Source organism: Homo sapiens, chromosome 20, assembly GCF_000001405.40.
Source record: "Homo sapiens chromosome 20, GRCh38.p14 Primary Assembly".
Classification (NCBI taxonomy): domain Eukaryota; kingdom Metazoa; phylum Chordata; class Mammalia; order Primates; family Hominidae; genus Homo; species Homo sapiens.
This window is the reverse complement of record NC_000020.11, coordinates 60,713,386-60,723,198: the sequence shown is the minus strand read 5'-3', so window position 1 is coordinate 60,723,198 and position 9,813 is coordinate 60,713,386. Positions and strand designations below refer to the sequence as shown.

Here is a 9,813-nt window from a genome sequence, read left to right as displayed (position 1 = left end):
GGTTGAGACATTTTCATACATGTATTAGCCATTTGACTATCCTCTTTTGGAGGAGCCGATTCAAGTCTTCTGCCTGCTTTTCTGCTAGGTTGTCCATTTCAGTATTGATTTGAAAGAGGTCTTTATGTATCTCCTACTCTTCTAGAATAGTACCTCTTCATAGGTGAGATGTAAATATATTTTTCAACCTAGGGGCTTCACTTATTTCAGTGTGTCTCTTGAAGGAATGAAATTCTTAATTTTAATATAATCAAATTTAGAAATCTTTTCCTTTATGACTGGTGTTTTTTTTTTTTGTTTTACTACTCTGGGATTTGAAAAACAATGTCCTAACTTCTGAGGTAATGAAAATATTCTCCTGTTTGAGGGTCTCCATGGTTCTACCTTTGACATTTAGGTCTGTGATCCACTTCGGCTGGTTTTTAGTGTGGCATAATATAGAAATCATGCTTCCTTTGTGCCTTACGTGGACATACACTTTATCCACCACTGTGTATTTGACTAGACTCAGCTCTGTAATGCCACCTTTATTTTAAGTCCACTGTCCACATAGGTGGGGCATGCTCCAGACTCTAGATTGTATCCAGTGGCCTGCTTGTCTATCTTTACAGAAGTTTCCTTTCTTTTTTTTTTTTATACTGACCACTTCTCTTCTCATTATATTTTTCTTACATCCTCGAGCAACTGAAGCATGTTTGTAATAGTTGTATTAACCTCCCCGTATGCAAATCTTATCATCATTGTCATTTTGGGGTCTGTTTCTGTTGAGTGACTTTTCTCCTGGTTACAGGCCACCTTGTCTGCTCCTTTAGATATCTAATAAGTTTTATTAGTGTTCATCATTCTAGATTAAAGTTTAAAATATTGATGAACTATATATGAATTATAGGAAAGGCATTTATTAATTATCCTTAGAAGATTTTCAGTGAATGAAGGAAAGTGAATATAATTTCTGAACTAACAGATAGAAAACTGGATATTGTACAATAGGGTAGGAAAATGGGCCGCACGAGAAGAGGAATTAGCAAGTTGAGCCCTAAGATTGCCCAAGCTCTCTGCTAAAAGCAAATTTCAGACTACAAAACAGGGAGTAGTGGCTCACACCTAGCCTGATGATTTTGCTAAGTTGAGGAGACAGAGTTGGTGGGGATGTAATTGGCTTGAAATTGAGGGACAGAGGACTTGAAAGAAGGGAGCTGCACACAGAAGAGGTCCAGAAATCTGCAGAGGGGTTCCCTTGAGAATTGGCTGCAAACAAAATATGTATATGTAGGATGAAAGGCCACAAAACTGAACTAGGAACAACTCCTTGAGTAACCTATATTATATTATATTATTTATTTATTTATTGAGATGGAGTTTTGCTCTTGTTGCCCAGGCTGGTATGCAATGGCGTGATCTGAGCTCACTGTAGTCACTGCCTCCCGGATTCAAGCAATTCTCCTGCCTCAGCCTCCTGAGTAGCTGGGATTATAGGTGTCCGCCACCACACCCGGCTAATTGTTTGTATTTGTAGTAGAGACAGGGTTTCACCACATTGGCCAGGCTGGCCTCGAACTCCTGACCTCAGGTGATCCACCCACCTCAGCCTCCCAAAGTGCTGGGATTACAGGCATGAGCCACTGCGCCTGGCCTAAGCTGTATTATTTTAAAGGATTTTATTACGGTAATTTATACAGCCCGTATTATTTATGTTTGCCTTCACCTTTGCCATTTTTTTTTGTTCTTTGTTACTTTCTCTGCTCTGTCTGAGCCAGGTTCCTTCTGCTTGATGAACAACTTCAGTATTTCCTTTAGTGCTGGCTTGGAGATGCTAAAATTGCTCATATATTTGTCTGAAAATGTATTTATTTCTTCTCCATCACTAAAAGTTATTATTGTGCTGGGCAGAATTCCAGCTTGGTAGTTGCTTTCTTTTAGCCCTTTACCACCTTTTCATAGTCTTATTGCGTTGGGCTTGCGTTTCTTCTGTTGAGAAGAGAGTTGTGGATTTCAGTTCTCATTGTTCTTTTGGAGGAACCCGGCCCCTTTCATCTGGCTGTTTTTGAGAATGTTTAAAATTCCCTTTACCTTTTGTTTCCAAATGTTTTACTGTAATATACCTTAGTGCATATGCTTTTTAAAAATTTTACTATGCTTGGATTTATAAAGCTCCTTAGATTTGTAATTTTTGTCTTTTTTTAGCTTTGAAAAGTTATCTGCCAATATAATATTGTTTCTGTTCAATTTTCTCTCTCCTCTCTTTTGGAATTCCCATTACACATGCGCCCATCCTTCTCTTGGTATCTGCAATGTCTCTTGTGCCCCTTTCTGTACTTTCCACAATTTGTCAGTCTGTGATTTACTCTTGACGTTGACATCTAACCTGTCTTCCATCTCACTAATTGATTCTGCATCCAATTTATGTTAAATCTACCAAGTTCTACATGTTTGTTTATTTTTTTTTCTGTTTCATTATTTTCAATTGATTATCTTTTTTAACAGTTTCTGGGTTCTTTCTAAAAATTCTCAATGGCTTTTACTTCCTTGCACGTGAATGATAATAACAGTTGTTGGGATTTTATTAGGTCCACAGCTCAGTTTTTTTGGATTCCCTTTGAATTTGTCCCTGTTATCTGTATTTTCTATTGGTTTTTAAATATGTTATCTTTCCATCTCATGAGCCTGGCTATTTTATATAATGTCCTGGACGTTGTGTTTTTACAGTTGCTTGCAGAAATGACTTGGGTCCCAGCTGATGCCATTTAACTTTCCTATAGTAATCTGGGTTCAACTTTATCCCTTTTTAGTGACTGAGATCATTAGAAGCTGAGCTGCAGAGTCTGTAATGGCCTGGCTACTTCTGGCTCACGTCAATGACCACAGAGGAGTAGCACCCCTTAATGTTAGGGCATCTTCCCAGCCTCTTCTCCCAGTAATCCATCACTATCATGTTTAATGTTAGAGCATCTTTATGGACTCATATCCCAGTAATCCATCACTTTCATGTTTGCATTCTATCGCATTCTTGCAACATTTTTAATATGTTGTATGATTTTTCTAGTTGTCCTTATTTTGAAGGTTGGTCTATTTACTCAGTTCACAATTTTTAAAAAAGATTACCCACTCATTGAGGCTTCCTAGGTACGAGGCACTATGTTACATGCTGGACATCCAACGGTGAGCCAGTCTATTATAGTGTTAATAGTCTAGCGTTCCATTATCTGACCTTTGGTTCTATGGCACCTTAGCAGGGCACGTTGAAGATGAATCCAGAAAATACCAGCACGGTCCACAGAACTGACCAATCTGAGGCTGTGAGAAGAGTCCTGGAAGAGTGTTAAGTGATCTTGTGACCAATAATACATGCAGAAAAGCCCTGTTCATATGATGACAAATGTATAGCATGGAAAGTCAAATGTGTCTTCTTGCCTCCCCTGCAGCAATGTTGCATGCTAACCACAATACCTATGATTGGTACAATACTGACAAGATGTACTTAGAGTCCAATTGTGGCAAGAGGAAAGAAAGAGAGGTTGAAAGAACTTATTTAAAAGCCATTTAAAATTTAAACACTGTTCATAGTCATAAAAGCCTCATGGTGTTCTAAAGAAACATTACTGCCTTAGAACACTATTCCCACATGTTTACACTGTCTCTTCAAAAGCCCATTAGATCTAAACTCTTTGATGTATGACCAACCACTTCAGTCGTGACTTTTTGTTAACTCGAATCTAAATCCAATGGGGAAAAGGACAAATTGGCTCTTTTATCAAACACTTTCAGTATCAACTAACAATGAAACGGGACATTTTTCCCCCACTTAAAAGCCATACAATGAGTTTACGAGCAGGCGAAAGTGAATAAATATTCAGCCCAGATGCTTGATTAGAAAACAAAACCAGCTCTGCACAAGCCAGAGCTGTGAATACAATTCTGTTCAAGATGAGTTTTTCTAACTTGATCTCTCCCTGGGGACACAAGCACAGCTTGTTGGATAGGGTATTAGCCTGTAAGAATTCTCTGCTGCTCACCAGTGCTTGAGGAAGACCTGCTGGAGTGCCCGTGGCCTGGGGCTGCTGCTGAGTGTGCTTCCTGGGCAGGGCAGACAGGCTGCTACATAGAGGAAATGTTCTCTTGCTATGTCTGAGAGATCGTTACTGGATATGTTGCGTGATGATTGAATGGAGTGAACACACTTCCAGCCCATTCTGTTTTCTTTGGGGAGAGCTAAGTCTCATCGTAGTTGCTACCATACCTGTTATCAGGGCTCAGCGCCCCCTATGGGAGCAGTGGCAGAGACGGGTAAGAGAGGATGCACGGGGGAGGCCCAGTCATCACCCAGTGCTGGGATCTCCTCTCCTCGCCCTTCTTTTAGAAGTGGTAGCATCTCTCTGAAGTGGAGTTTACCCACTGAAGAAGACACAAAAAATAAGAAATGCATAAAAATGTTGACAATAAAGTAATCTATCTGCTGGAGGATAATGGAACTCTTTGCGTGTTAAAAATCTTAATGTAAGAAATTCTTCTGTCTCAATTGACTTGGGCTGTAGTAACAAAGTACTGCAGACAAGAGAGCTTAACCAACAGCAATTTAGTTTTCACAGTTTTGGAGGCTGGAAGTCCAAGATCAAGATGTCAGCAGGGTTTGTTTCTTGGGAGACCTTGAGGGCAGGATCTGTTTTAGGCCTCGCTCCACAGCTTGCAGAGGGCCATCTTCTCCCTGGGTCCTCACATGGTCTTCCCTTCATGTGTGTCTGTCTGTAGCTTTTTCTTATAAGAACACCGGTCATATTGGATCAAAGTTCACAGATACGACCTCATTTTAACTTAATTACCTTGTTAAAAGTCCTGTCTCTGCAAACAGTCACATACTGAAGTATTGGGGGTTAGGGCTTCAACAGATTAAACTGGGGAGGACACAGGTCAACCCATAACACTTTGCTAAAAATGACACAAAACCCTAAAATAGATTAGTCTTGGTGACATAGAAATAAAATTTTACAAATTCTATATGAGAAAAATCACCATAATGAAAAGTAAAAAGGCCAATAAGAAACTGGAAAATTCATTGGCTATTTATGTCACAAATGGCCAGTGTGGGTGTGTGGGTGTGTGTGTGTGTGTGTGTGTCCAATTTTAAAACAACCAATAAAAAATAGGTGCAAAATACAAATGAAATACAAGTGGCCCTTAAATAGATGCAGTGATGCTCAACATAAAATGCAACTTTAAACAACATCGGAATACCGTTTTTTCACTGATCACCTTGGCAAAGATTTGATCATTCAAACCTGACCAGCCTTTGTGGCATAGATTTTCATACATAATCAGTGGGAGTATAAATTGATATGACCTCTACATTGGACCTTTTGTAAAATCTATCAAAATTACAATTATACAAAATGTTTGACTTAGATTTAGGGATGCTTCACAGCTGCTAAAGAAATGCATCAGCTCTATATGTCCTATAAGGAAACAATCTCCAATATATATTATTTGGAAAATGCAAAGGATAAGTCTAATTACATAAATGTTGTAATTTGTGGTAAAATGTATAGCCAATGGATGTACTTGAATAGTTATGAAAAGATACACTGAAATCCACGAATCCTGAAAGTCGTTAAGGGAAAAGATCTCAGGAGACAGAAAGAGCAGATAGAACACTTTATACTCTTCCTACCTTGCATTTCAAACCACGCAGATGCTTCAGTAAAGAACTCAGAAGCAAATATGACAAAATGTTAATATCTGTTCAGAGGTGGGCCCATGGATAATTTGTTCTTTTCTGCACTTTTATGCTTATGTGAAATGTTTCATAATTAAAATTTAAAAATAAAAATTTGCATGCTTTTTTCTATGAAAATTTTTAAAAGATTCCCACATATATACACCTAAATTTGCCCACATTTTTGACTATTACATATATTTTATTCAGCACTTTATTAGTTGCAAAGGAAAGAAATACAAATCAGACTGGCTTTAGACAAATAGGAAACTTACTGCCTTCTATTTCTGGAAAGGTCTGGGGGTTGCTTTCAGTTATGGCTGGATCTGGGGAACCAGATGATGCTGTCGTTCTCCTTCTCTGCCTTTGGTTGCATTTGCATTTGCTCTATTCTCAGGCAGGGCCACCATTGCTGTTGTATGGATCAGCATGTAGCTCCAGGCTGACCACCTACTCATTTACTAACCTTTTAATGAAGTCTATAACTCTTTCCCAGTGGTTTCAGAAAAAGCACTAGGGCTCCCTGTGTCGTGTGGTTACCCCTGTCCAGTCACTGTGCCTGAATGGCCAGGTGCCAGTGACACAATTCTTGGGGTTGGTCCTGTGGCTACTCCCACCCAAACCCAGGGATCGTTGAGTGGGATGTAAATGATTCAGCAAATGAGATCTGAGATCCCCTTATCCTAAGAAGAAAATGAATGCAGGGGGCAAGCCACAACAGCAAATACCCATTCACAAATCTCTACTCCCCGCTCACCCCTCAGTCATAGGATGTAAGGATGTAAGGATGTAAGAGATACCCGTCAATCTGCATCCCCATGTTGAACTCCGGCATGTTATTCCCACAGTTTAAGGGGGAGTTAGTGTTTCAAGCTGATTTTCCACTTTCCAGCAACCAGTCAACATTTACACATTTACACATGGCTTTGGTGGGGATGGCCTTCAATCTGTCCCCTCTTTTCTACAGTTCTTACCCCACCTCCCTTACTGCCATGTTGTTTTGTTTTTCTAAAATAATAATTTTGCAGAGACTATGTCCCTTTCCCAAGAATCTTCTCCCAAATGATTTTAGCCATCACCGATAATCTGTCTGTCAGGATCAATGATTTCTTTAGAGCTTGGGGAAGGGTGGTTTTCTAACTGTATCCCTCCTTCCTCACTTATTACTTGCTATATTCCTATAAAGAACAGCTTTTCTTATTAACTGATGTGAGAAACACACTCATCTGCCCAAACCCAAAGGATGGACTTACAGGCACGAAGATCAGCGAAACTGAGACTTTTAATAACAGTCTTGCAAGATGGGCTGTCTTGTAGGCAGGCACACCCAGGGCAGTCACAACAGGTGATTTATCTCCTAGCACGCAAGTCCCTCCCCCACTTCTTCATTGGTTGAGTTCTCCGGGGTTACGATCTTCCTGGACGTCGCCTAAATTTCATCCCCCTTATAAGGTTATACCCCGTCTCCTTCCCCGCTTAAGTTTCGATTTCCCAATCATGAAACTTTCTTCCCTTTTATGGGCCGACCCCTCCTCTCCATTCTGCTCACTTATTGTGACCTTCCAGGTGCATGAGCCATGCAGTTTGTTACATTTCCAGGCTGGCTGCCAGTGCTCAGATTCATCATGCCCTGAAAATGGACCATTTAAATTGTTTTCTCACACTGAGGATAAACTGGTTCTGGGTAAATGCTTAATTCTTTCCTAACTTTCAGGGTAAAATGTGGTCCTGATTGTCAGTTTTAATAGTGACAAATGAGTTTTCTTTTTCTGTTCTCTTGTTACAGTTTGGATTCCCCCTCCCCATCTAATGCGAAGATGGAGTTTGGGCTGCAGGATGTGTATTAGAGATGCTCACCTATGAAGGAAGGGGAGAACTGGGCAGAGGGAGAAGCTGAACTGTAGTGCAGGCAGAGCAAGCCCTGGCCAACCTGGAGGAAAACTCTGGGGCCGGCATCGCCTCCAGAACGGGTCAGCTGCCCAGTGGCCCTGTGTGGGACTGAAGTGGCCAGGACTTTCCATCCTGCCTCACTCAGGGCTCCTGACACCCCAAAGAGCACTAGCCTGAGGGAGGTGCTCCCTGGATCCCAGGCAGAGCCTGGTGGGAGGAGCTGAAGCTCAGGTGCTGCCTGCGCCCCCTGCTGCTGCTCTGCCGAGGATTTTCTGAAGAGGAACCTGGGAGGCGCATCCCCTCCTCTCCCACACTCTCTGTTTTGGGTTTCCCACTTTGCGTCTGCTCTGGGTTTTTTTGTAGTTCAATATTTTTATTGGCTCATGTATTTACAGTTAAAACCATTGGTGGTCGGGCACAGTGGCTCGCACCTGTAATCCCAGCACTTTGGAAAGCAGAGGTGGAAGGATCACTTGAGGCCAGGAGTTTGACAGTTTGAGACCAGCCTGGGCAACACAGTGAGATCACATTTCTACAAAAGAAAACTTTAAAAATGTTTTAAAACACACACACATGCTCGCGCTTGCACGCTCACACACACACACGCGCATGCACACACACACATGCACACACACACAACCTGTGGTCCCAGATACTCAGGAGGCCAAGGCAGGAGGACTGCTTGAGCCTGGGAGGGCGAGGCTGCAGTAAGCCGTGATTGCAGCACTGCACTCCAACCTGGACCACAGAGCCAGATCCTGTCTCAAAAAAAAAAAAAAAAAAAAAAAAAAAAAAAGAAACCCACATTGTGTGTTTTGTTTTGTTTTTTGATGCTTAAATTATCCCACATTTATCCAATGGATTCACCTTTGATACATCATTGTATGTCTTTGAGCTCTCCTTTCTTTTAATGGGAAATGCTGCTTAGAAGCCAAGAACTAAGCTCGTATGCTACCAGCTCCGAGGCATCCCTGCTTTTAAAACCCTCTGAGTAGGTAAAGCTAGGATGTGTGTGTGTCTGTGTGTGTGTGCGTGTGTGTGTGCATGTGTGTGTGTGCTTTAAATCCCTGTTTTATTACTATTTCCTGGAAAATTCACGAAGACATGGTTTCTTATCCTTTTTGATTTTATGTGTGTATAGGTATGTATATGTTTGCACTAATAACATTAACAGTTATTTATTCTAAAAGATACATTAAATGATGTCAAAATTATGATACCCAAATTACTACTAACAATAAAACCACTGAGTGAATTGCAAGATTTCTCTATAATTCTCTTCATCCTTTCAATATAACCACCAAGGATTTAAAGTCAGGTTGCTGTTTTCAAAGATTACTTGAAATAATTTTTCTCCATGTTATTATGTTACCACTTTGATATAAAAATAGGCCGATTTGTTTCAGCTTGTTTTCAGTTTGCAATGTGATTTTTTTCTCCTTTTTTGACTTTTTTTGAATATGTAAAGCATCTTTAAAGTCCAAATCATTCAGAATTATAACTTTGGTATGTTTCCCCCTGAGACTTTTTTCCTTCCTTAGTAAGGGGGCTTATAAAATTGGCACATTTACAAATTTCTTATCTGAGTACATTGGCATTTCTTATGTACACAGGGAATAGAAATGTATTTCCCCAAACATAACTTATGGAACATCACATTTATGAGATATTCCCTGGAAAGCTAGTTTGGGAAATGTTGTAGATACCCCCTCATACACAGATAGATTAACCTGGCATAACAGTATTGAACGTATGTTAAAGGTGCTAAGAATGCCTTCGCTAAGTAAATAGGGTTAATTTTCTTAAACACAAAGTACTGCAGATTATTTCATCTTGGAACATATTTTTCATTGCACATAATGACACTCCATAGTGCTTCATGGCATACACTTTGGAAATCCCTGATTTAAATGCAGGTTGTCCTAAGGAAATATTAGAATTGTCAGGCTTTCTCATGACACATCTTCATTATGATTCATAGGCCTTAACAAATAAGAAACAGTACAAGCCGTGATCTGTGTGTCTCTTAGGGAAGGGCTGTTTCAAGAACACAGAGTTATAACTTAGACTATACACTCTGTCATGCAGGACCTTTTCTCTTTCCTCAGCTGAGACAGAACATTCAGAACTATACTTGGCATACCTTGGCACTTAATAGCATTTGGTATATGAAAAAAAAAATAAACTTTTGCTTTCTTTCGGAACTGGAGCTTTCA

General features: G+C 40.2%; 1 annotated feature.

The window, feature by feature from the left end:
* Nucleotides 7,833-8,433: an enhancer, noted in NCBI's record as "H3K4me1 hESC enhancer chr20:59289824-59290424 (GRCh37/hg19 assembly coordinates)". NCBI's record gives its function as "activates a minimal SCP1, AML or CMV promoter by ChIP-STARR-seq in naive H9 embryonic stem cells {active_cell/tissue: H9 hESC(naive)}" and the evidence as "EXISTENCE:reporter gene assay evidence [ECO:0000049][PMID:30033119]".